The sequence below is a fragment of the Homo sapiens genome, chromosome 9 (genome assembly GCF_000001405.40).
Source record: "Homo sapiens chromosome 9, GRCh38.p14 Primary Assembly".
Classification (NCBI taxonomy): Eukaryota; Metazoa; Chordata; class Mammalia; order Primates; family Hominidae; genus Homo; species Homo sapiens.
The window spans coordinates 125,652,569-125,680,133 of record NC_000009.12 but is presented as its reverse complement, the minus strand read 5'-3'; the positions used below and the strand labels follow the sequence as shown (position 1 = coordinate 125,680,133).

The 27,565-nt window shown below is 38.6% G+C and overlaps 1 protein-coding gene and 1 pseudogene across 6 annotated transcripts in view, besides 1 other annotated feature; both read left to right on the top strand.

The window, feature by feature from the left end:
• Positions 1 to 27,565, top strand: part of MAPKAP1 (MAPK associated protein 1) — a 269,815-nt gene that overhangs the window by 27,075 nt on the left and 215,175 nt on the right. For 4 of the 6 annotated variants that reach the window (NM_024117.4, NM_001006619.2, NM_001006617.3 and 1 more), the window contains exons 2-4: positions 7,491 to 7,818; positions 10,227 to 10,316; positions 22,335 to 22,483. In NM_024117.4, coding sequence (NP_077022.1) covers positions 7,560 to 7,818; positions 10,227 to 10,316; positions 22,335 to 22,483 — 498 coding nt within the window. In that variant the 5' untranslated portion in view covers positions 7,491 to 7,559. The remainder of the gene's footprint in view (positions 1 to 7,490; positions 7,819 to 10,226; positions 10,317 to 22,334; positions 22,484 to 27,565) is intronic. The other 2 variants (NM_001006620.2, NM_001006621.2) reach the window with 2 other exon arrangements.
• On the top strand, positions 4,837 to 4,980 carry LOC124902358 (uncharacterized; annotated as a pseudogene).
• Positions 25,314 to 26,212: an enhancer, noted in NCBI's record as "OCT4-NANOG-H3K27ac hESC enhancer chr9:128416201-128417099 (GRCh37/hg19 assembly coordinates)". NCBI's record gives its function as "activates a minimal SCP1, AML or CMV promoter by ChIP-STARR-seq in naive and primed H9 embryonic stem cells {active_cell/tissue: H9 hESC(naive and primed)}" and the evidence as "EXISTENCE:reporter gene assay evidence [ECO:0000049][PMID:30033119]".

The window sequence follows — 27,565 nt, the reverse complement described above, 5'->3', positions numbered from 1 at the left end:
GTGAAGTCGGGGTACAGTGTGGAAAGGTTAAAAAAAAAAAAAAAAAATCTCGCATCTGCTGTTACATGTTGTTAACTCCCTCAGCAGACATTAAATCATTTCAAGTACAATAATAGTGTGGGAGGTAAATTAACTAACCATTAACAGTCTTATAAATACACAATTAACATGCCAGCATTTATATGGCACATTGATGGGGCAGCAGTAATTTTTGATTGGGAGTTTGCAGACCTTTGTGAAGCCTCGGGCTGTTGCCTATTCTGACAAGTTTTCACAGATTGCAGGTGAGAGATCAGAGGGAAGTGAGCGGGTAGTGTTTTGAGAAAGTCCAGGAAGGGGAATTTCCTTCTAACCATTGGATAGACGTGAGCATTGTAAGTCGTATTGTTGCCTATCTCAGGTCCTTAGAGACTGAAGAAGTATAGGGTGGGCTTGTTTGCTTGTAGTGAGTTATTTGAAGAAATAGAGTATTTCAGGTATAGACTTGAAGTAAAGGTACATGAGTCACTAGGGATTTTAAAAAATATTCCTTAGACGTAACTAGATATTTAAAGTAAACCCTTCCTCTGTGATTTCAGGTCAACAACGAGATAATCACTGAAGTTCCTTTGTTCTGTGAAATTTTGTGACTTTTATTTTTTTGAACAACCATTACATGCACTGATTGTTTCTTGCTGTTGTACAAGCACTGTTGTTAGTGGAGGGGAGCTAAGGGTTTACTCTACTGCATAACACATTTGCTCTCTTATGTCTTTCACAGAGACCCATGGGGGAAATTTCTCTCAGGCCTTAGATACAAATGAGTACAATAGGCTTTTAAAAAGTCGTGTTCAGCTGGGCACGGTGGCTCACGCCTGTAATTCCAGCACTTTGGGAGGCCGAGGTGGGGGGATCACCTGAGGTTAGGAGTTCGAGACCAGCCTGGCCAACATAGTGAAACCCTGTCTCTACTAAAAATACAAAACTTAGTGGGGCGTGGTGGTGCACACTTATAATCCCAGCCACTCAGGAGGCTGAGGCAGGAGAATTGCTTGAACCAGGGAGTCAGAAGTTGCAGTTAGCCAGGATCGCACTGCTGCACTCCAGCCTGGACGACAGTGCGAGACTCCATCTCAAAAAAAAAAAAAAATTGTGTTTATTATGACTATTGTAACTTTGTCCCTCTTTGTTTTGAGAGGCTCTGTGGTGTAGGGAGTAAGATCCCAAGCTCTTGAATTTGATTTTTTATTTCTATGTATTAGCTGTCTGGCTTTGGGCAAGTTTCTTAACCTTTCATTGTCTCAGTTTTTTTCATAAGCCATTATAAATAAAGTTTGGAAATGAGTGTATGTAAAATTATCCAAAATTATATTAAGACGTGATGCCCATCAAAACCTAGTAAAAATTATTCCCATGTTTAGAACATGTTCCTAGTTACCACAGGCAGGTTTCATGATCATTAATGAATACAGATGGGTGTGTAATCTGGGAACAGTATCCAAAGTGCATCTGAAACCACTCTTAGCACTTAGTAGAAACTTAGTAAATATTTGTTGAATATTTATTCATTTGAAGTGTAAAAGGAGACCCACCTAGTATATTAAAAATGCCTGGGCCGGGCGCGGTGGCTCACGCCTGTAATCCCAGCACTTTGGAATGCCAAGGCGGGCGGATCACGAGGTCAGGAGATCGAGGCCATCCTGGCTAACATGGGGAAACCCTGTCTCTACTAAAAATACAAAAAATTAGCCAGGCGTGGTGGCGGGCGCCTGTAGTCTTAGCTACTCAGGAGGCTGAGGCAGGAGAGTGGCGTGAACCCGGGAGGCGGAGCTTGCAGTGAGCAGAGATAGCCACTGCACTCCAGCCTGGGTGACAGAGCGAGACTCTGTCTCAAAAAAAAATAAATAAAAATAAAATAAAATAAAAATGCCTGTGTTGGCCTGGCATAGTGGTTCACGCCTGTAATCCCAACACTTTAGGAGGCCAAGGCTGGTAGATAGCTTGAGCCTAGGAGTTCAAGACCAGCCTGGGCAATGTGGTAAAACCCCATCTCTACAAAAAATACAAAAAGTAGCCAGGCATGGTGGTGTGAGCCTATAGTCCAAGCTACTTGGGAGGCTGAGGTGGGAGAATCACCTGAGTCTGGGAAGTTGAAGCTGCAGTGAGCCGTGATCATGCCTCTGCACTTCAGCCTGGGCGATGGGAGTGAGACCTTGTCTCAAAAAGAAAAAAAAAATTGTGTTATTTTGGGACATCTCTTTCTTTCCTTCTACTGTGCATGGATATCCCTATTGCTTCCATTTTTAGTAAAACAAATCTTTATGCTTTAAAGAACGTGGTGTTAAAAAGTGTGAGAAAGAAGCTGTGAAAAGTGGGAAAGCTTAGGCAAGGTGATATTATTTATCTGTGGCCTAAAGGTATGTAAAAAGGTCTATCTTATTTTATTATTATTATTATTTTTGAGACAGAATCTTGCTCTCTCGCCCAAGCTGGAGTGCAGTGGCAATTTCGGCTCACTGCAACCTCCACCTGCCAGGTTCAAGAGATTTTCATGCCTCAGCCTCCCGAGTAGCTGACACTATAGGTACGCACCACCACGCCCCCCTACTTTTTATATTTTTAGTAGAGACGGGGTTTCAGCATGTTGGCGAGGCTAGTCTCGAACTCCTGACCTCAGGTGATCCACCTGCCTTGGCCCCCCAAAGTGCTGGGATTACAGGCATAAGTGACTGTACCGGGCCTTATTATTTTTTTCAGATGGAGTCTTGCTCCGTTGCTGAGGCTGGAGGGCAGTGGCACCATCTTGGCTCACCTCTGCCTCCCAGGTTCAAGCAATTCTTCCACCTTAGCCTCCTCGCCCAGCTAATTTTTGTATTTTTAGTAGAGATGGGGTTTCACATGTTGACCAGGTCGGTCTCAAACTCCTGACCACAAGTGATCCGCCCGCCTCGGCCTCCCAAAGTGCTGAGATTACAGGTGTGAGCCACTGCACCCGGCCAAAAGACGTCTGGCTGTGTCAGAGAATCAAGAGTTGGTAACATCCAGGGAAGGCATTCAAGGCCTGAAGAGACAGCATTTGTGAAAGTGTAGAATAGCATTTCTAAACCTTGTTCTGTGAAACGCTGTTATACATTGATATGTTTAGTATTCCTACAGAAAACAATATTTATGGATGGAATAAGTTTGGGATATATTGTTACTAGATTCCTCCCTCTTGGAGAGTCATAATACACAAAGTACATAATTTAAAAGCTTTGGGAAGTCCTGTGATGAAACAGCAAGAAGAAAACCTCTTTAACTTGGTTGAATCTGGTGTTTCCTAGACTTTTTAAAAAAACTTAAAAATTTTAAATTGTGGTAAAATATACATGGTATAAATGATAAGTAAAATTTACCATTTTAACCATTTTTAAATGTGTAGTTCATTGGCATTACATACATTCATATTATGGTGCAACCGTCACCACTGTCCATTTCCATAACTTTTCCATCTTCCCAAACTGAAATGTACCCGTTAAATACTTTTTCCCCATTACTACCTTCCTCCAGCTCCTAGCAACTGCTGTTAGACTTTCTGTCAGTTTGACTGCTTTAGGTACCTCATAAATGGAATCATACGGTACTTGTCCTTTTGCGACTGGCTTATTTCACTTAGCGTAATGTTCTCAGGGCTCATCAATGTTGTAATGTGTCAGAATTTCCTGTGTTTGAAGGCTGAACAATATTCCATCGTTATATACCACATTTTGTTCACCCTCTACCATGTATTGTTAATCGCTACTTAGTATTGTGTTGTTTGTATGTGTCATGGCATATGTGTACTATTGTAGGTTCCTTTTAGATTTCCAGTATTACAAATTACTCTGAGATAAATATTTTACACAATTATCTCCTTAGAACAAATCCTAGAAGTAGGATTGCCCAGATAGTATTCATGTTTTATATTTTGGTAAATATTACCAAATTACCGTCTAAAAAGTCCCAGTTTTCATTCCTTCATATTGTGCATGAGAGTGCCCATTTCTCTGAACCCTTGCCAGAGTTAGATTTTTAAAAATCTTTTTGATCTGTGCACAACTGATCAGAGAGTACAATTTGTTTTTATCCGTGATATGTATGTCCTTGTCTTGGAAATCAAACATAGCTTCAAATGATAATTTGCTGCTCTTTGGGAGATTTTTTAAAATATTCTTTTGGGTTTTGAAAAGTAGTCTTGTTAGAATAAGTTGAATAGTGTTCCAAGGGGACAATTTTGAAGGGCACGTTGAAGAGATGCTCTTGTATTACGAAAAAAAGACAATCCTTTATTTATAATCACACACTTACACCTGGCACATTCATATATGACTTATCTCTACAACAAAATTGAATAGTCCTTGGAAGTTAGACAGCAACATTTATTGAACTCCTGCCATGTATAACAGCCTTTGTTGCCAGAAGGAATATGGTGTTATGAACCCTGTCCTTGTGGAACTTATAGTCTAAGTCTTTAAGTACATGTAATTGGAGGTAAAAAGTGACATACACAATAATATGTTTTCTGGGGCAGTCCTGTGGGAGTTCCATATCAGAGCTGGTAGGGAATAAATATTTTTTGAATGAATCATACAGATTCCTTAATGTATGAAGTCATAGTGTCCTAATAGAGAAGATATCTGCTGCTGTTGAGGCATTTGTTCTGGGAGGATAAAGCTGGGAAGTTGGTATGTGCCTTCAGAAGTGTTTGCCCATTCCTCTTATCTTCAGAAGTGATCTATTTCCCTAGAATAGATTTTATTGAGGGCACTTCAGTATACTTTTGTCACTTTGCCTTTTGCCATTTGACTTTTTGGTGCTAGAACACCTATTAAATATCTGATCACTTCTCGGCCTTTTGGCTAAGATCAAGTGTATTAAATGTGTGACTTCTCATTAAAGCCCTTGTTTTTGCAAGGGAGAACTATTCAGTATGAATTTGAAAGCACCTGCCTCTCTACTGGTGACTAGCTGCCTTCCTTTCATGCCAGGAAGATGGCTTATTGTGATTGCTGTAGAAGGATGTTTGCAGCTCTGATCTGTGATACTATGCTTCCACAAATACTCTCATTTATAAATAAATGTGTGGTGTATACATTTTTTATGGTTATAGAGAAGTTTGTATTTTTACAAGTGAAATTTAAATGCTCATTGTTAATTTCATATTTTTTTCTGATCAATATCCTTAAAATGGTAGATTGACACTAATACTTCAGGGACCAGATATCTCAGAAATTTGATGCTTAAAGGAATCCCATGGTATTAGGAGATGTACTCGGTCTGTATTAGGGTATTAACTTTTTGATTCAGGGATACCTTACTCACCTTTGCATTTCCCATTAGCCTCAGAGTAAAATAAGTACTCAAGGAATATATTAAGAGGAAAAAAGTGAAGATTAATGTAATTTGCTTGATTAGAGATGCTCCTCAGTTAAATTTCTTTTTAATCTCAGTATCTTTATTTTAAGACCCACTTTAAGACACATCAGCAGAATGATGTGTTTCCAGACAACAATTTTTAAAACCTTAGTTAACTGTAAGGATTTATTAGCTAGATTTCCTCTCTATGTTCCATTTCTAGAAGAAACAGATTACAAGAAAATCTGGTGTTATAAGTCCTTCTGAAAGTAAGTATCTTCTAGGACTGTTCCTGGAAACATAGTCAATCCAGCTTTCATATTCCTTGTACTTCTCAACAATTTTGCAGGGGCAGGGAAGTCACTCAGATGACTTGCAGTGTCCTCTATCACAAAGGAAGCACAGACTTATTTTATGTGCCACGAACTTACTAAGACAGATGGGATATTGACATATTTTAGGACTACTTTAAGCAAGAATTGATCATTGAAATTATTGATTTTTTATCATTATTATTAATAGCTAACATTTATTTAATTACATGCCATGTATTTTTTTGAGCATTTTACCTGCATTATCTCCTGAAGCTTCCATTTTATAAATGAAGGAAAAAAAAAAGGGAGGCTCAAAAAGGTAAAGTATTTTGACTGAGATCTTATAGCTAACGAGTAATAGGGCCAGGGTTTGAACCCTTTCTGTCTCTAGGGCCTAGTACCTAACCGTTGTCCTGCAATATTTTCTTTGTTGAGTATTTTCACTTAACTGAGAGGGTGCTATCTTGTTACTAGAACAAATATTATTACAGTGTTTTTTGTATGTTTTGTTTTGTTTTGTTTTTAGAAGACAGGGTCTCACTATGTCACCCAGGCTGGAGTGCAATGGTGCAATCATAGCTCACTGCAGCCTTGAATGCTGGGGCTCAAGTGATCCCCCCACTTCAGCCTCATGAGTAGCTATGACTACAGGCATGTCCCACCATGCTCAGCTAATTAAAAAATAATAATTATTATATATATATATTTTTGTAGAGATAGAGTTTTGATTGTGTTGCCCATGTTGGTCTTGAACTCCTGGACTCAAGCAGTCCTCCTGCCTCGGCCCCCCAAAGGGTTGAGAGTACAGGTGTGAATCACTGTGCCCGGCCTCATTACAGTTTTAACAGGACTGAGGAAGCAGTTTTTATAATTAAGTTTCTAAAATAAGAAGTTGATTGTATAGTAGGTAATTTTGATTATAAATTTTATTTTAAAAACACAGGCCAGGCATGGTGGCTCACGCCTGTAATCACAGCACTTTGGGAGGCCAAGGCGGGCGGATCAACTGAGGTCGGGAGTTTGAGACCAGCCTGACCAACATGGAGAAACCCCATTTCTACTAAAAATACAAAATTAGCTGGGCATGGTGGCGCATCCCTGTAATCCCAGCTACGCGGGAGGCTGAGGCCGGAGAATCTTGAACCTGGGAGGTGGAGGTTGCAGTGAGCCAAGATCACGCCACTGCACTCCAGCCTGGGCAACAAGCGCGATACCCTGTCTCAGAAAAAACACAACAACAACAACAACAAAAACACAATACTATCTTGACAGGAAAATATATTCATTGAGCAACATTAATTTGGTGGTACATCATTTTTATAAAACCCCTAGTAACTCTGAAAGCATTGTCTGTGCCCTTTTAAACACTTCACAATCATATGACAGGAGGGGAAATGTAAACTGATGAAATAGAGTTTTGTACTTTAGCACATCATTTGAGGAAAATACAACTTGTTCCCCCATGACCTTATAAAGTAATGAGAAGATTGCATGATAGTGAAGGGAGAAAGAAAGGAAAATATATTGTTTTAACAGTAGTTATGTGCTTCGAGTGGCCTGACTTGTAAGGAGTTGCTGTGATTTGTTTTGCAAGAGTGCAAGCCTTCCTTTCTGATTCTATAGAGATCTCATTGACTAGAGCTGCAGCCCCTAGTGCTTATAAGGATTTCCTTTCAGCTTAGACTAAATCCTTTTAAGCTCCACAGAACAGGGATAAATGTTGATTTTCAAGGTGGCATTTTACTACACTGAATGTGTCTGAAAAATGATTCAGTCATTTTCTGCCTTATTCTTAAATATTTGCTGTGTACATCATGTTTCTAGGTAGGTGAGCTCGTGAAACAATATGAAGAGGAGAAAATAGCCTTTTAAGGAAATTGGCCCACAGAAAGGATGGCCTTCTTGGACAATCCAACTATCATTCTAGCTCATATTCGACAGTCACATGTGACCAGTGATGACACGGGAATGTGTGAGATGGTTCTCATTGATCATGATGTTGACCTAGAGAAGATTCATCCTCCTTCAATGCCTGGAGACAGTGGGTCAGAAATTCAGGGAAGCAATGGTGAGACTCAGGGCTATGTATATGCCCAGTCAGTCGATATTACCTCAAGTTGGGACTTTGGTATTAGAAGACGCTCAAACACAGGTAAACATTGTGTTCTAGTCATGTCTTCTGAGCTTTAAATCAGTAAACAGTCTTATGGAATAATGCATAATATTGGAATAGGCTTAATGGGGGATGTTTCCGGGTATTAATAGGAACATGCATATGTCAGACTAAGAGTGAGTCTGAGCAACATCTCCATCTCTGCGACTGCGAATGGAGAGGGCCTCTAGAATATTATTAGAAGTAGACAGAAGGGGGATAGTGAAAAAGTTGGTTAGGAGAGACATGTTGGACATTTCTAACAAGTCATTGTGTAGAAAGGCAAGTGGACTGGCTTTGAGTGTCTTCACACAGCAACATTAGTCCCAGTAGGTAGACTACCCGGAGACAGATTTCAGGTTGACATAATAAAGAGCATTTAATACAGAGAGGTGACCACCCAAAGAGAGCAGGCACTTCTTGCCCCTGGAGGAATTGTGGGGGAGTGGGGAAATGGGAGGAGACACCTGAGTATTTGTTAGGGCTGGTTTTAGTAGGATTCTATACATAGGGTGTGAGATTAGAAAAGGGGCCCCTGTTTTTGATACTTCGCCTTTATTTTCTTAAATTGATCACCTTTTGATTTTTCTGGCTTGAAAACACTCAACTTTGGTATACACGTATTTAGTCATTAGCTTTAAAAGCTTATTGCCCATTTTCCCACTTATATTTTTTTGGTGGCCTTGTTTCAAGGGGAATGTGATGAACCAAGGACTTTTTTTTTTACTTAGACAAATTATTTAGAATACATATTGTAGTTCTAATATGACAGGTATTCTAGGAGGTAATTTTTTTTAGATAATCAGAAAATATAATCTTCAAATTAGCAGTAACCTGCTAACTCCCAGGAAAGGTAATGGCAAGGAGATATAGTAGAACACTGAAAATACTTACATATTTATTTTCATGGTCCAAATGTAAAACACACATAAAGGAATATTGGAGGTAGAGCTGGATACAATTTACTGTGAAAGGCACATTCAAGTTTTGGTTCAGAATTCAGTATCTGTGACATAAGAATAATTTGCTCTCATGATGAAAATAATTAATAGCATTTCCCAGTATCTAAAGGAACTTTTGTCAAAATAGGATTTGAGTGAAGGTTTGAATATAATTTAGAACCATTGATTTTCAGTTCTCTAGTTGAAACTGACTTCCTTGCAGGTTATTGAGATGATATCTTATATGACAGGTTGAATGTATTTCAGTGGGAGAATGCTGCTAAATTGAGAGCTTTATGATTATATTACTTTGGCTGTACCCTTCACATTTATTAATTGCAATTGAATGTAGTTTTCTTCAGTGTTGGTTAGATATAGTGACATTGTCAGAATGCTCTTCCCAGCATAGTTTAAATTTCTGGTAAGATTATTTTCAGTGTTTCCCTACCACAATGCTAAGGCAGAAGTGTATAATTTCCTATCTTGAAAGAGGCGGAAAAAGAGATGTATTTATTTTCTATTAGCAAAATGCTGGGATAGGAAGCTGAAGATTAGCAAGAGAAAACTGATTTCAAGAGATGGCATCAATTGTGACTTTCTTTTTTATTGTGGTCTCTGTATGCGGCAGTTGTTAAGTGCATGCTGGGTGGTATTTCTCTAAAGGATCAGTTCACTGATTTTTGAAGGTTGATCAGCCAGTGGCAATATAATCACAAATGCATAATTTTAGGTGACTCTTGTTGGAATTTCTTTAGGTAGCACTTAGATGCTAATAATTAATTGAGATTGTAGGTTGTCTTAGTGACCAAAGAATTTACTTTTTAATCCATGCAGCATATCTTAAAATTTTGTAAAAGAAAAATTGTTCTTTTTAAGATTTGACTAATGTTACAAAGATACAAATCATTTATTTTACTACCTATAAACTGTTTCAGCCCACTGAAGAAAAGCTATGCTAATTTATATAGCTTTGACATTTTATAATTTTCATGATTTTTAGATAAAGGATTTTATATTTAAAACTTTAATAGTCTAGTCTGAGTTCATTTATCTTTAATTTTTGAAATGGGTAGAGTAATTCATAACAGTAATTTTATTCCTGTAATGTAATATTCACTTCAGTTCATTTGTGCATTAAAATTCCTTTAAGACCGTTATTAATGATTTATATAATGAAATGTCATATTAATCACAGAAGTTTTCACATTTTATTATTCTCTTCCATGTTAATACTATCTTTATGATCTCTATTAGTGTTTTATATCCTCTAATTTCAATTATAAATCAAGAATATTTTCATGTTTTTGTTGGTATTTGCTTTTCAGGGGTGCCACCTTTAAAATTTTATGACTTTTTCTCTACATATGCAATATAAAACATCTTTATTCATGTAAAGGTAGTTAATTATGTCTTTGTTTATGGTAAACTTTCATTGACAAACTTACAGTTATAATATTTCTTTTCAAGCTCAAAGATTAGAACGACTCCGAAAAGAGAGACAAAACCAGATCAAATGCAAAAATATTCAGTGGAAAGAAAGAAATTCTAAGCAATCAGGTAAATGGAAATGATTTTAATTCTTAATTTGAGATTTATATATTTAGTTTATTATATAAGAACTTTTATTTTTAATTCATCCTTTTAAATCCTCTGGACTTAGATACCTCTAGTGTTTTGAGCTTTGAGCTCTTTCTCTTGTGTGCCTTGACCCTCTGAAGCTATATGCTCTTTAGTTCTTGGCTTTTTGGCCACCCTTCACTCTGGGTCACAGGGATTGATGTGTGCAGGGGACATTTTTTACAAGCTGTCATGTCAGTATTTTTTTCTGATTTTTTAAAAAAATATAGGCCAAGGAGTACCCTATGATTTGATTTTTATTATTATTATTTTTTTTGAGATAGTGTTTCACTCTTTTTGCCCAGGCCGGAGTGCAATGGCACGGTCTTGGCTCACTGCAGCCTCTGCCTCCCCGGTTCAAGCGATTCTCCTGCCTCAACGTCCTCAGTAGCTGGGATTACAGGCGCATGCCACCACACCTGGCTAATTTTGTATTTTTAGTAGAGATGGGATTTCACCATGTTGGCCAGGCTGGTCTTGAACTCCTGACCTCCAGTAATCCACCCACCGTGGCCTCCTGAGGTGCTGGGATTACAGGCATGAGCCACTGTGCCCAGCCGATTTTTTTTTTTTTTTTTGAGACGGAGTCTTGCTGTGTCACCCAGGCTGGAGTGCAGTGGTGCCATCTCGGCTCACTGCAGCCTCCGCCTCCCTGGTTCAAGCAATTCTCCTGCCTCAGCCTCCCAAGTAGTTGGGACTACAGGTGCACACCACCATGCCTGGCTAAGTTTTGTATTTTTAGTAGAGATGGAGTTTCACCATGCCAGGCTGTTCTCGAACTCCTGGCCTCAAGTGATCCACCTGCCTTGGCTTCCCAAAGTGCTGGGATTATAGGCGTGAGCCACTGCGCCCAGCCCCTGTGATATTTTGGATGAGTTTCCAGGTTACAGATTTCTCTTGGCAGTTCCAACCTAGACTTTTCCTTGCCCCATTAGTGGGCCTAGTAACAGTCTTTTTTGCATATATGCAAATTCTTTTCCCTTAGTGTAAAAACCATTATGTTGCTGGTATTATTAGCATTTGCTGTATATTTTCATATAGTATGTGTATAAAGGCTGGCCATATTATATACTTTCAAAGCTTCAGTCTCAGCAAGAAGAAAAGACTTGGGGAGAAAAACAATTTCAGAAATAAAATGCTATTAAAATATTTTATAGTGGTTATATCATGTTTCCTAGACTTTCTCTTTTTCTTCTCCTTTAAAAGAAATATCTGCAGTCTGTCTTCTGTATCCTCCCAGCACCTCCCAATATCATATCGGCATGTAATAGATGCCTAATAAATATTTGTGGATTGGCTCCATTGTTACACAATAATTATAAGTCTAATAATATTAAGGTTTATTATACTAATAGCAGCCTCTACCTCGTGCTCTACTAGGTACTTTACATGCATTACCTCTATTGCAGTGATCTTGCAAGGTGTAGGTATCGTTGCTATTGTTTACAGATAAGACAAAGGCTCAGGGATTTGATGAACTTGCCAAAGTTACCCAACATGGAGGGAAGTGTGATAATGAGATGTTTTGTGTCCAGCTCTGCCTGCATATAAAGGCCAGTCTCTCTGCGCTAAATCACTCTGTAAAGTGCTTCTTGATTTCTCATACTATGGTTATAAACTCAAGTATCCTTAGCAGGTATGATTTTCTTCATGACTGCTACTAAGTGATGACTGTGTAGAACCAGAAGTCCCAATTACTTGTTTTTCTTACTTATATCTCATTCTGACTTGCTTGAATGCAGTAGTTCTTGAATTTCTCTCTAGTTTTACTCTGAATACTTTCAAAATCTCACGAGGCTAGCCCCTTCTGTTGATCAAGTTAATGTTTCTCTTTGTTGTATTTAATACAAACTGAAAATACTTTATATCACTTATCTTATTCACTTTTTTCAAATTTTTTATATATCTTAAAGCAGTTCTTATTAATCTCTTCTTGATCAGTGAATACAGAGCAAGTTTATTTAAGCTCCTCTGTCTCTCCAGCCACCCTTTATTTGCGTTCTTCACTTCCATAGCTTAAAAAATTATAAATAAAACGCACAGTGAGGCCAGGCACTGTGGCTCACACCTGTAATCCCAACACTTTTGGAGGCCAAGGTGGCAGATCAGTTGAGGCCAGGAGTTTGAGGCCAGCCTGGCCAACATAGTGAAACCCCATTTCTACTAAAAATACAAAAAATTAGCCAGGAGGCAGGCAGATCACTTGAGGTCAGGAGTTTTAAGACCAGCCTGGCCAACATGGCGAAACCCTGTCTCAACTAAAAATATAAATTAGCTGGGCATGGTGGTGTGCGCCTGTAATTCTAGCTACTCAGGAGGCGGAGGCATGAGAATTGCTTGAACCTGGGAGGCAGAGGTTGCAGGGAGCTAAAATCGCGCCAGTGCACTTCAGTCTGGGCAACAGAGCGAGACTGTGTCTCAAACCCAAAAATACGGTGAATAGAGTACATCAAATATAGGTGCATCAGTCCCTTTTACAATGTGAGAAGTAAGTTCTTCAGCTTAAATTTTGATACATCTAATAAATAGAGGATTTTATTTGCTCCCCCACTTATTTTTTAAAGTCTAATCTACTTTAATTTTTGTTCATTGTTTCACAGAATATGCTGGAGAAATAGTTATGTCACCTTTTGCTTTCATTTGTAACCATACTGTCCATTGTAGACATGTACTTCTTATACTTCTCTCCTTCAGTTTCCTTCTCTCTCTTTTCTGTGTCTCACGGATTTTGATAATTGAGCCTGTGGTCTTACTTCTGGAGAAGCTCTTCAATGTGTATGTTCATGCTTGAACTGTTATTCCCTGATTCTGGCCAGACCAGCAGCCTGCCTGGTAGTCATTCCTGATGGTTAGAGTGAAACTTATCAATGCACAAAAGAATGTCTTTGGATTCTCCCTTAGGCTGGGTCCTATCATTAAACCATAGCTTGGCACTCTGGGTGTATTGAAGCATGCTAGAAAAGTGGAATCAGCAGTCCACTAAACATCTACCTGGCAAACTGAGCAGCCATCCTTTTTTTATACATCTCCCACAAACGTACTCTCTCAGCAAGAAATGCCACATCTAAATCTTTTTGATCTTTATTGAGAGTTTTGGATGGGTAATTATTTATTCATTCTCTGCTTTTAAGAATTGGGGGTCTCACTGTGTTGCCCAGGCTGGCCTCAAACTCTGGATTCAAGTGTGTCAACCTCCTGAGGAGCTAGGACTACAGGCACATGACACCATACCCAACTTCATTCCCTCATTCTTTTTCTATTATTTATGCTTTGCTAAAATCCTTTCATTTGTTTTTCTTATCTTTGTTTTATTTCATTCCCCACTAGAAGAATCATCATTCTAAACAGGATGACCACCCTGGAAGTATTCTTCTTCCACAATTATTCTGTCAACATCCAGTTTATCCTTTAAGACACAGCATAAGGGCAGCCTTTTCATAGAGGAGATAGAGGGTTTGTGGAGACCATCTAGTCCATACCTCAGTTCTTTATGAACTTACTGATCCATGTGCCATGAGACCACATGATAAATGAAATACCTTAGAGTAAGATCCTTGTAATATTCTTGTAACTAAAACTGCATGGATAGATAAGAACATGGTGTCATCAGAAGGGTGCTTTGTTAGGAATAATGTCATATTAAGATCCAAATATCTTTAATTTTATTATTTTAAAATGGTATTGGTATTTTATTCTGTACATAATTAGTTATTACCCTTACTCATTGAATCATTTAACAAGTATTTCTTTCATAACTCCTGTGTGCCTAATAATTCTGTGCTGAGCTCTAGGAGGACTACATGAATCCTCTCCTCAAGAAGTTCGAAGTCTAATAGGCAAATAAGGCTTCTTATGCATGAAGTTAAATAATAATGCAAAACAACAATGTAGCTTATTTATATCAATTATTTACATGTACCTGAAGTTTTGTGTAACTTCTATTATTGGTTTCTTAAGTAATGATTCCCAAATACAATGGAGGTATAAAAATCAGAACTGCATCCAAAAGTGCATGTTATAATAACATTCCCTATACATTTCTAGGCCTCACCTGTGGAATTCTTGATTTAGTAGATGGGGGTTGGGGCCCACAAAGTTATGTTTTTTTTTTGTTTTTTGTTTTTTGTTTTTTTTGAGCAACAAGGCTGTTTATTTCATCTGGGTGCAGGCGGGCTGAGTCCGAAAAGAGTCAGCAAAGGGTGGTGGGATTATCATTAGTTCTTATAGGTTTTGAGATAGGTGGTGGAGTTAAGAGCAATGTTTTGGGGTCAGGGGGTGGTTCTCACAAAGTACATTCTCAAGGGTGGGGAGAATTACAAAGAACTTTCTTAAGGGTAAGTTATGGTTTTCAAAAGGTCCCTGGGTGATTCTGATGAGTAATCAGCTCAGGGTATATAGTATGTTAGCCACTAAGTTTATTTATTTCTTTTTTGTTTGTTTGTTTTTGAGACAGAGTCTCCTTTTGTCACCCAGGCTGGATGGAGTGCAGTGGCACAGTTTTGGCTCACTGTGACATCCGCCTCTGGGGTTCACACAATTCTTGTGCCTCAGCCTCCCTAGTGGCTAGGATTACAGGCGTGTGCCACCATGCTTGGCTAATTTTTTAAAAAACATTTTTAGTAGAGGCAGGGTTTTGTCATGTTGGCCAGGCTGATCTTGAACTCCTGGCCTCATGTGATCCGCCCGCCTCGGCCTCCCAAAGTGTTGGGATTACAGGTGTGAGCCACTGTGCCTGGCCTATTTCATCTTCATTCAAAGCCAGTAAATTAGCTGTTAGTATGTCTCTTTTACAGGTGAGAAAACTGGTGCTCAGAGGCCAAATAACTTTCCCAAGTTACTTGTAAGTAGTAAGTGGTGAAGCCAGAATTCACCTCCTGGACAGTTTGACCCCAAAGACTTTATAGTCTTTCTACTCTGCTCTGCTCCCTCCCATATCATTGGCAGAAAGGAGCTGCTTCTGAAGCTTTGGGTATTGAGGAGTCTTTGGTGTTCTCTTGTTCCGTTCTTTTTCTTTTCCTTTTTTTTTTTTTTTTGAGAGTGAGTCTTGCTCTGTTGCCCAGGCTGGAGTGCAGTGGCACGATCTCTGCTCACTGCAACCTCCGCCTCCCAGATTCAAATGATTCTCCTGCCTCAGCCTCCCAAGTAGCTGGGATTACAGGCATCTGCCACCACGCCTGGCTAATTTTTGTATTTTTAGTAGAGACGGGGTTTCACCATGTTGGCCAGGCTGGTCTCAAACTCCTGACCTCAAGTGATCTTCTCGCCTCGGCCTCCTAAAGTGCTGGGATTACAGGCATGAGCCACCACACCCAGCCTACCATGATAAATAGGACATTCTTCCTCATACCTTTGTTATTGGTCTTTTGTAAATAAATCTGTTATTTTATTTTTATTTTTTTTTATTTTTTTTGAGACGGAGTTTTACTCTTATTGCCCAGGCTGGAGTGCAGTAGCATGATCTCGGCTCACTGCAACCTTTGCCTCCAAGGTTCAAGTGATTCTCCTGCCTCAGTCCTCCAAGTAGCTGGGATTACAGGTGCCCGCCACCATGCCCGGCTAATTTTTGTATTTTTGGTAGAGACGGGGTTTTACCATGTTGGCCAGGCTGGTCTCGAACTCCTGACATCAGGTAATCCACCCTCCTCGGCCTCCCAGAGTGCTGGGATTACAGGTGTGAGCCACCGCACCTGGCCGAAATCTGTTATTTTAATATATTTGTTTTGTATCCCGCTGCTCCCTAAATTCTTATAGTTCTAGTATGTTCCATGCATAAGTTCTGATACACATTCTCATCTTCTGAATGCTATAGTGTGTGCTTTTTCATAAAGCTGATGATAATTAAATTTCCAGGCTATTTATTTTTTTAGTTTTGTGTTTGTTGGTGAAGTCCAACTGTTTATATTCGTCAGGACTTTTTAGTTGCAAATAACAAAAAGCAGCTTGAAGGAGGGCTCTCAAGAAGTATAGTCTGCCTGATGAATGGCTTGAAACCAGAAGGAAGGGCTCTCATGACTTCCCCCATCTTGTCTTGGCTTCTTTCTGCGCATCTGCTCTCTCTGTCCTCCCTTCCTATACCCTACCCCAGCAACTTTTTCTACTTCTCTGGTCCAGACTTATTCATTCAACAAATATTTATTATTAAAAAATAATAAATTATTCCTTCAACAAATAGTGAACAAGACAAAGTCCTTGTCTTCATGGGGCTTATATTCGATTGGGGGTAGATAAACAGTAAACATAATGTGCCAGAATGGGTAAATGGCATGGAGAAGAATATAGCCAGGTAAGGGGGATAAGGAATGCTAGGCAGAGAATTTTGCTATTTTGTGTAGGGTGGCCAAGGAAGGGCTCATTAGGAAGGTACTGTTTGAGTAGAGATCTAAAGGAAGTGGAGGAGTGAGTCATGCATATATCGGGAGATGAGTGTTCTAAGAGGAGGAAATAGCAAGTGCAAAGATTCTGAGGCAGAAACGTGCCTGGTGTATTCAAAAAATAGAATAACAAGGCAGGATGCCTGTTGGTTAGAGCACAGTAAGCACGGGAAGAGTGGGATCAGAGAAGTCAGTAGTGGGGTTCCTAGTTATGGAGGGTCTGGTAAGGAATTGTATTTTTTCTCTGAGGTGATTTGATCAGAGTAGTGATGTGATATGTGACTTCTTTTCCCCCAGTTTAAATTTCCTTAAAAAAAAACTTTTTATTGTAGAAAATTTCAGACATACACAGAAGTAGAGAGAATGGTTTAATGAACTCCCTTCACTCATCTGCCAGCTTCAACAATGAACAGTACATGGCTGGTCCTGTTTGATTTATACATTTTACTACCAGCCCTCCCAGATTATTTTTAAGCAAATCCCAGCTACTATATGATTTCATACCTAAATACTTTGTATTTTTAACATATAAGGAAACTGTGGCACTACTACTCTTCAAAAAATTAATATTATTTTAATATTCTCTATATCATTTAAAATTATTTATGTTAATTATTATAAAGAAATGTTTAATAATTACATTGAAAAACATTTAAAATAATTTCTTTATAAAGAAAAATTTTATTTTTATTTTTATTTTTTTTAAGACGGAGTCTTGCTCTGTCGCCCAGGCTGGAGTGCAGTGGCACGATCTTGGCTCACTGCAAGCTCCGCCTCCTGGGTTCACGCCATTCACCTGCCTCAGCCTCCCGAGTAGCTGGGACTACGGGTGCCCGCCACCACACCCAGCTAATTTTGTGTATTTTAAGTAGAGACAGGGTTTCACCCTCTTAGCCAGGATGGTCTCGATTTTCTGACCTCGTGATCCACCCACCTCGGCCTCCCAAAGTGCTGGGATTACAGGCGTGAGCCACCGTGCCCAGTCAGGAAAAAAATTTTTGTTTTGAAACAGGGTCTTGCACTCTCACCGGGGCTAGAATGCAGTGGCATGAACATGGCTCACTACAACCTCAACTTCCTGGGCTCAAGTGATTCTTCCTCCTCAGCCTCCCAAGCAGCTGGGACTACAGGCACATGTCACCATTCCTGGCTAATTTTTGCATTTTTTGTAGAGATGGGATTTTGCCATGTTGGCCAGGCTGGTCTTGAACTCCTGGGCTCAAGTGATCTGCCCATCTTGGCCTCCCGAAGTGCTAGAATTACAGTCGGTGAGCCACAGTGCCTGGCCAAGAAATAATTATTTAATATTATTAAATATCCGATTATCGTTCATATTTCCCTAATCATCTCAAATTTTTCTTTTTTCTCTATTGTTTTGTTCATGTTTGGATCTAAGATCCATCTACTACTTTGGTTAATGTCTCATTTTTTAATCTATAGCTTCTCTTTCACTTTTTTCTTATAATTTATTTGTTGAAGAAATTGGGTCATTTGCTGGGTAACAAAGTTATTTAAAATAATTCCCCTCTTTGTAGTTAATCTGCCAAGTCATTATTATACTTAGGTTCATGTATTTCATTTTGCCTTTGTTTTTAGAGGTTATGCTTTTAATTTTCTTTTATAATTATTTAAAACATTGACATGGCTTCAAAGTCAGAAACATAAAGCAAGATAAAGTCAGAGAAATCTAGCTTCACTTTCTGTTCCCTTCACTCTTTTATAGTCATTTTTAAAAAGGTTTTTTGTCCATTTAAAACTATATATAAGCATATTTATATTTATATCCCCTTTTTAGATTAAAGATAGCATACTATACATACTGTTTTGTACAATACTTTTTTTATTTAGTAATATATTCCGAGGATTTTTCTGGAGCAATATATAGAGATAAGCTTCATTCCATTTTACAGCTGCATAATACTCTGTGATACGCATGTACCAGTGCCAACCCATGCCCCGGTGAGGGATGTTTGTTTGTTTTCAGGCTTTGCTTTTGCAAATGGCACCGCAGAGAATAGTTGTATGCATTTTTTTTTAAGTTTTGTTTTACCAGTGTATCTAAGTGGTATTGTTGGGTCAGAGGGTAAATGAAGATGTGATTTTCCTTGATCTTCCGAATTCCGTTTCATAGGACTTTCGCTGTTTCATGCTCCCACTGGTAACATACAGAGTGTCTATGTCCTCAGAGCCTCAAATCTTTAGATTTTTGCCAATCTGATGAAATGTAGTTTTAATTTGCATATCTCTTATGAATGTGGTTGAGAATCTTTCCATTTAAGAGCTGTTTACATTTCTTTTTCTGTGAACATTTCATATTTTTGTCTTATTTTTCTATGTGTGTTGTTCAGTGTCTTCTTTACTTTTAGAATATTTACATATTAGGAATATTGACCTTTATTCTTTCCTAATTTATCATTTGTCTTTTTACTTTTTTCCCATACAGAAGTGTTTTCTTTTCATGTGGTCAGGTTTATCAATTTTTCTCCTCATTCTGAAGTTTGTAACTTGTATTTCAAAAGACTCATATTGGCGGCTGTGTCAGGAAGAAACAAGGGTTGGGGTGAGGAGGCAAGGGCAGAAACAGTAAAGCGGGTTTTAAGGTGATGATAACACAGCGTTGCTAGCGGTTGCCACGGTTCTGAATAGCTTTTGAAGTGTCGGTTGATGGGTAGGATGTGAGAAGTCAGGATGACTCCCAGGTTTTTGGCCTAATAGAACTGAATTGCCATTAACTGAGGAGACTGTGGGAGTGGGAGCTTTGGGGAAAGATCAAGAGTTTGGTTATGGATAGGTAACACTTGAGGTGCCTGGTGGACATCCAAGTGAAAGTGTCCAGTAGAAAGTTGGATGTCTATAATTTCAGGGAGTGTTTAGGGTTAGAAATAACCATTGAGAGGTACTAGCATGTAGAAGATATTTACTTGGGGTTTCCCTTTTTATTTATTTACTTTTTTTGAGGTATGCTTTACATTCGGTGAAATGTACAGATATTAAATGTACAGCTCAGTGACTTTTGACAGACATATACATTTATATAACTAGCATCCCAGACAAGTATAGAGCAATTCTGTCACCCCAAAAAAGTTCCCTCGTGCCCCTTTTTAGTCATTTCACTCCCCAGAGGCAAGCATTGTTCTGATTTATGTCACCACAATTTAGTTTTGCCCCTTATAGATGGTATTTAAAAGCATACGACTGGATGAGATCACCAGTGGCGTGAATGTAGATTGAGAAGAGGTCCAAGTGCTGTGCCTTGGGAAATGCCAGTGATTCAAGGGAGAAATGAGATGAATCAGCAGAGGGACTGAAAGAAGTAGCCTGAGAGACAGTATAAAAGCCAGATAGAGTGGAGTCCTGGGGACCAAGTGAAAAAAATGTTAAAACAGGAGGGAGTGAGGAACCGTGTCAAATGCTGCCAAGACATCTTGTAAGATGAGGATTAAAAATTCACCAACAGATTTAGCAACAAAGGGATCATTGGTGACCTCGATAAAAGCTGCTTTGGTGGAGTAGTGTGGCCTGAATATGCCTACTTGGAGTGGATTTGATTGAATGGAAGTAGAGGGACTGGACAGGAAGAATATAGACAGACATTTTAAGAAGCAGAAAAATATGGTAGTAACCAGAAGGGAGGGAGTATGGGATAGAGAGAGGATTTTTTTTTTTTTTAATGAGCAGTGTTTCAGTACTGTGTGCTGATGTGACTAATTCAGTAAGAGAAAAATTGACAATGGAAGAGAGAGAAGAGAATTGCTGGAGAGCTGTTCATGAGTTGGCAAGAGGGATGGGATCTAGTGCACAAGGGAAGGGCTGGCCTAAGGTAAGGGCAGAGGGAGTTCATCCTCGCTAGTAGGAGGACAGGCAGATAGAAGAGCAGATGAGAGCATGCAAAAGTTCTCTTTGGTTGTTTCTATTCTCCAAGCCTCGACAAAGGAGGAAGAGGGGAGGAGGTGTTAGGTTGAGGAGAGAGGTCTGAGTGTGAATGTCTGAGAATGAAAGGGTTAATCATAGCATCACATTGCACCTAACCCTATTGGTAACAGCTGTGTGAAGTCTATACATTACTTATGTTTGGGATTCCTCAGTTTCTTCATGGAGCTAGTAGTAACATCTCTCTTAGGATCTGTGAAGACTGTGACTGTGCCAGGTGAGGAAAATACCTAGTATTGATCCTGGCTCATAATAGATGCTTAATAAAGGATCATTTCTTTCCCAATTGTAAGCATGAAAGTGGTAATAGATTACAGGTAGAAAAGTACTTCCCATATTTAAAATATTACTTTAATTGAATTATAGTCTAATTCCTCTTCAAATCTGTGTTTAATATGTTGATTATGTCGAACTCCTGTGCTCCAGTGATCCTCCCACCTTGCCTTTCCAAAGTGCTAGGATTACAGGTTTGAGCCACGGTGCCCAGCTGCAGTTACATTTTTTTTTGAAAGTTCTAAGTGACTCTTTCGGAGCTCTGTTCTCTCTCTTGGTTTAATTTGACTATGCTAAAGTGGAATGGGGTTGAACACGTCTATTGCGGATTTTAAAGTCTCAGATTGATTTATTTAAAAACTTTAAGTGTGGACATTTCTTCATAGCCGCTTATCATCTAGCTACCGCCACCTTGATTGATATTCCAATTGATTTAGAGAATTAAATGATCTTTGAAAAGTTACGGAACTTGTCTTGGTTCACTAATGAATAAGAACTGAAGATTCAGATTTAATAATTTTAATCTGAATTATTTCAATCATTCATTCATTCATGCAACAAAATTTATTCAGTGTCTACCTTGTTCATTAGTGCCCTAATGTATAAGAGCCTTGGTCAGGTGCAAATTCTAGTTCTGTTACTTATTAGCTGTGTGGTCCAGGGCTAATCAAAATATTCTAAGCTTGTTTCCACATTGACAAATCTGAGATAACGCTAGTATCTACCTCATAGGCTTGTTATGAGGATTAAATGAGATATATTGACTTGCTAAATAAATGTTAGCTACTGTTACTACACTTGATCTTAGCCAAAAGGCCGAGCAGCAATAAATGTTAGCTACTGTTATTATAAATATCCTTTCTCTTTTTCTCCTCTTCATCTTTGGCATCAAGAGTTTGTACAAGGTGCAACTGGAGAGTGTTAGAGAATTAATATGCAGATCTTGACCTTGAAGAACTAGAATTCCAAAATCACATAATATTACAGGCAGGAGGGATCTTTGAGATTTTCTAGTTTGACAAGCCCAGAAAGGTTTAGAGAAGTGTCTACTGTCACATAGCTTGCCGTTAGTAGCAAAGCCGGGCCAAAGCTCGGGTCTCCTGGCTGTGAGTGCTCTTCCTATAAAATGGCTCCTTTGTTACTTTGTCTGATTCTTCCCCCTCCCTTAACCCCTTCTCTTTCCAAATTGACTATCCTGGCCTGCACGTTCTTCCGTGCTCTGCCTTTTCAGTGCACGGTATATTGTGGGGCTTTCTGCATGTATCCGACCTGAACATGTCTCTGGATGCTCCTTCCTTAAGGTTCTAAGGAAGACTTTTTAGGGAAGGTGGACAAGTTGTCTCTGTGTAATCACAAAGATGTTTTTCTTCCTCTTGTATCACAGCCCAGGAGTTAAAGTCACTGTTTGAAAAAAAATCTCTCAAAGAGAAGCCTCCAATTTCTGGGAAGCAGTCGATATTATCTGTACGCCTAGAACAGTGCCCTCTGCAGCTGAATAACCCTTTTAACGAGTATTCCAAATTTGATGGCAAGGTAAGTAAAAATGAGACTTTGTCCCTTTAAGTAAAACTGTAATTGAGTGGAGTTGTTGTTGGTATTATTATTAGATTTAGGGTTTCAGAAATGCTTTGTAGAATATCAGTTGACAGTTATAGAATGTCACTTACATTTTCTAAGACTTGATGTAAAGGTATGAATTTGGGTTCAGTATTGTTTCCACAGTAATATATTTGGGAGGATTAAAACAAAAACAGTCCTGTGCTCTTTCATTCTCTCTTTCTCTGTGTATAGATATCTCAGGACTGTTGTGTTTTAATCCTCCCCAACACACATATATATATGTGTGTGTATATATATGTATATACATATGTTTATATATATATGAGAGAAAGGGGAGGGGGAGGAAGGGAGAGAGAAATATATATGTGTATATTTTTAATCCGTTTTATCTCCTAAGTATACTTGAGAAGTTGGATTAGTTAGATTGTGATTAATCAAGGTCTAATTGTATTGGGAAAGCCTTGAAAGTGGTTCTGGGAGGCAATTTGCATTGTCTTGGCTGATTATTATAACTGTAGAAATTGTTTGATTATTATAACTGTAGAAATTGTTGAGATCTGAGCTTTATTTCAGAATTCTAGGCTATTGCTTGCATTTCAGTATTTCACTGTAGGGGGATCTTGACACTTGCTATGGAGGCTAACTTTGTTTTTTGCCTGTTTGTGCTAAGTTTGCTGTTATGAAATTAAAGTGTGTTTGTTTTCCTTTTAGAAACATGGCCACTATTTCAGGTGGATCCTAGTTTCATATGCAGCACCCCTTCCCCAACCCCCTGCCTTCTTGTGTCTCTGTGCTGACCTGAGCAGGGCCTTGTTCAGAAGACAGTAGCGGTTGATTTTTGTATTTATTGCCATGATGTTTGCTGTCTGGCAGTGGTGTGGGGTGCTGAGTGATAGCTCTTTGCCTGGAGGTATTGTGTATAATTTGTCTTACTTCAGCGCCATTGCAGTTAATAAACATACAGCTTTTTGCTTATGCTTGATTTTTTTTTTTCATGAGCTGGTTCTGTCACTTGTCCTCTTTGAGCAGAGGTGTTTTCTCTTCGAAAGACTTTTACTTCCTACAATTCAGCAGGTTTCCGTAGGTTTCAGTAAGCATGTATGGCCACTGGCACATGAGGTTATTGATGTTTCTGAGGGATAAGAGCAAAAACTAGAAACAAAATGCATAAGTAATATAAAGGTCCTAATATGCTCTGGAAGTTTCCTCCAAAGAACTTCTGACAGCACTTTTAGTAAGTTATAGACTGTATTGATGTAAAGCTTCTCTTTCGTCTGCCCTTGCTGCTTTCTCCTGTTTTGTGGAATGTAGCATGGAGAAGGAAGTTCCCCCAGGGGACAGGAATGTCAGCCTCTGGAAAATGGCGAGTTGGACTACATAGGATTTAAAAAAAAATACTACAATGATTCATTTAGACATGTGAGAAGTTATTCTTGGGATTAGGGTAAGCAGTTGGAATTTATTTGCTTCCATTGCCTGATACCATCTCATTGTTTGAGGATGTAATTTCTGGAATAGTTGATGTGTGATAATGTGTTTATATCAAAAAATAGCACAGATCTTTTAAAATACTCTATAATTCTCTTTATACCATAGACTTTATTGTTAATTACTTAGGTTCAGATTTGTCACAAGGTTGTGAACTCTGCTTGGTGTGTATATATCTAACTTCTGAAGTACCAGCGGGAAAATAAAAAGTAAACCATCTCCTTAGTCACAAAGGAATTATTCTCGCTAGATGTGTGTTTACACTGAAGGCTCTCAATGCTTTTGTCATAGCAAGTCTATTTGTAATCCACGAAGGATGTGAGTGCAGAGCAGTCACCATTATGCATTGATTAAGAAAGATTTAGATATTGATAAGTCTATCTTATGTGATGCTATTGTATTATTATCTTACATATTACAATTGCTAAAATACAATTAAACCCTTGTTCTCATCTGTTATTTAATATTGATGCATTTGGCAGATATGTAATGAAAATGGCTAATATTTGAAGGATATTGTACTGTACATATTAAATTAGTCTTTCTTTATCTTTGTGAAATGCGTCAATATGATATACAATGACATCTCAATGATTAATAGAGAATTATACTTGAGTCAAGCCTTTTTGTAACCTAGAAATTAAAATGACTATTCAAATAACACCTCAAAATGATCAAATTAGCATTTTGTGATTGCATAATAATGGGATTGTAGTAGTTATAACAGCACCATGGCTGCCTCTAGAGTTAAGATCATGTCAACCCCTTGATAATAAAGCCTTTTCCGTGAGAGTTGACTCTTAATAATTTCCAGATTGATTCCTCCCATAAATCATCTGACGTTCAGCACTAAATTTTTGTTACTGTTGTAACTTAAAATTATTTTATTTTTTTTCGGCTCATATTTAAGAAATGAAATGAGTGTCTTGTTTTAATGATTCACTGTCTTGTCATTGGAACACCATGCTTTTAGCCTCAAATGTAAGGGTTTTCTATGTATTTTGATACTCCAGTTTTTTCTTTTTTTTACAAAGATTTGTTAAAGCCTCTAAAATATGTACAGTTTTTTTCCCCCTCCAAATATTCACAATGCTTTTCTTGGGAATAACTCTTGCCTTATTTACATAATTAACTGAGTTGCTTAGGTCTCTTGGGCAAATAGTACATAATTGGGGAGAGAAGGGGATGGGGAAGAGTTTGGGGTCTAATTAAATATGCTAAAAAACTACTTAATTATGTATTGCCTCAAGAGACTAACTGCTGTGAAATCCTCCTTAAGATTAAACTAGTGTTAGATCTGAAGAAAGGATTTTGCTTTTGCTATGGCTTTACTGTTACATTTTAGTCAAGCAGGCACATATAGTGTTCTTAACAGTTCATGCCAACTGGATTGTTGGTTTTTATGATTCTGAGGGTGAGCATCTCTTAGCTGTTGTGCTAAATTAAAGTGAATATTTCCAAGTAATTTTTGGTTCCTGTAGCTGGTTAATAATTTTATAAAAAGCTTTTTAAAACAGTGGTTGGCTAATAATTTTTTAAGGCATGAAATTGAGAGGGAAAGGCTGTACTTAGGCATGTGCCTTGGTGTAATTTTGACAATTTTTGGGGTCAGGTTTATCATTTTGATATTATTTCTTTAGCAAATTGGTGATGCTCTCTGTGATCTGTTTTAGAGTCTGGGTCTGGATTATCAATAACTGTTTACTGATCATTTGAAAAAAGTTCAAGGTTGATGGCCAAGCAGTTTTAGGGCATGCTTTGGTCAGATCCGCAAAACCAGCCTCAGCCATCTGCCTGAATTCTTAAGCATTGTTGAGAACGGAACCTCTGAATAGCCTCGTTAACAACACAAAACCTCTATTCTAGAGGTTGAGACAATTGGAAAACTTCTTGTGCCAGTCCTTCTGATTTCACTGGATGTGGGAACTGTTGGTTGTGACAAGAGGTTGCTTTGAGGTGATCGGGGAGTGGGCTTTGCTGAGAGGCAAGTAGACATTCAGCACTAATTTACGTGCCTCAAAATATGTGGATTTTCTGCCCTGTTTCTCCACCCGTTTCAGATTAGGTTATGTTTTAAGAAGGAAATCTAACCCTATCCATTTTATGCCATATCACTTTCTTGAGACTCTTTTGCTAGTACATTATCACTATTCTGGTCAAATTGCATTTGCAGATATTATCCTTAATAGACCATCAGAAGTTCAAGTACCCATTTCCTGTCAATACAGTTAGTAATAAAAAAAAAGGGACTGATTAGCAAGTTGTGTCATCTCAGTCAGTTTTTTCACCTCTGAAAGGAGATGGGTGTGAGTTCCTCACAAGCCTCATGAGACCATCAAATAGGATAATGCTAGGATGAAGCATCTAGCACAGTGAGAGGCAGTGTCGTTTAATAAAGCAACCTATTCTGTAGTAAAGCCTCCATTCGAATCCCCATGGCTCCACTTACGGTGTGACTTCAGTCTAGCTACTTAACCTCATGAAGCTTGGGGTTCAGGACACACTACCCCAAAATGTGGCACCTTGGAATATTGAATATCATAAGCTGAAGGAACTTGAGAAATGGCAGGAAGAACTCTGATCTTCCCCTGCCCTTCTCCCCTAAGCAGGTCACAAGGCCCTCATGTGAGACATGTTCTCCCTCTGCCTGGAGGAAAGGAGCATCCTCATCTCCTAAGATGAATCTTAAAGAACAGGGTTTGCAAAATTTCCCCACAGTTTACCACACTGACTTCCTACCTTTTTCCTATCATATTTTCCACATGACTTTCCACTTTTCGTCAAACTTAATATAAAAACCCTCAGATTTAACCGACAGTTTCTTGGGTCTTCGTTTTCTTATGAAGGCTCTATGTCATGTAAAATTTCGGTTAAATAAATTTGTGTGCTTGTCTTTTGTTACTCTGTTTCTTGTTACAGGGGCCTCAGCCAAGCATTTATAAGGGTAGAAGGAAAAAATGTTTCTTCTCTACAAGTTCCAGTCCTGATCTGTGAAAGAAATGATGACAGTGTATCTTCCTCAGGAGGATGAAATGAGCAGGATGTGTTTAGCAGGACGTGTAGCACATAGGAAACACTCAACAAATATCCCACTTCTGCTGCTTTCTCTTTGTAAAGGGATGACACAGGGCACTGACGATGGGGCAGTGACGATGTCTTTCCCACGTACTTCATTATGTGGTTGACAGGATTGAGTGAGAGGGAATGTGTTTTTAAAAGCCAGGATTTTAGAATAGTGTCGTAAAGAAGAAGTACAGCAGAGAGGGTGAAAACGGTCTGCATGTTGAAGTTCAGGGAGTCCAGTGGGGTTTTGGTCCTTCACTAGGAAGATTGAGACAAGTAATTACTTCCTTTGGGTGGGTGGGGGATTGGCTATTTTTTTTAAACTTTTGGTGAGAAAATGGTTCAATATTGGTGATCGCTTGGCAGTTTCTAAAATGTTAAATATCCTACTTTTTGGGCTTAGCTAAATACTATTTTCTAAATATAAGGGGAATGTTTGACTTGACAAGTGCTTGAAAGAGCAAACCAGTTCTGGTTCATATAGACAACTGTGACTTTGATGGT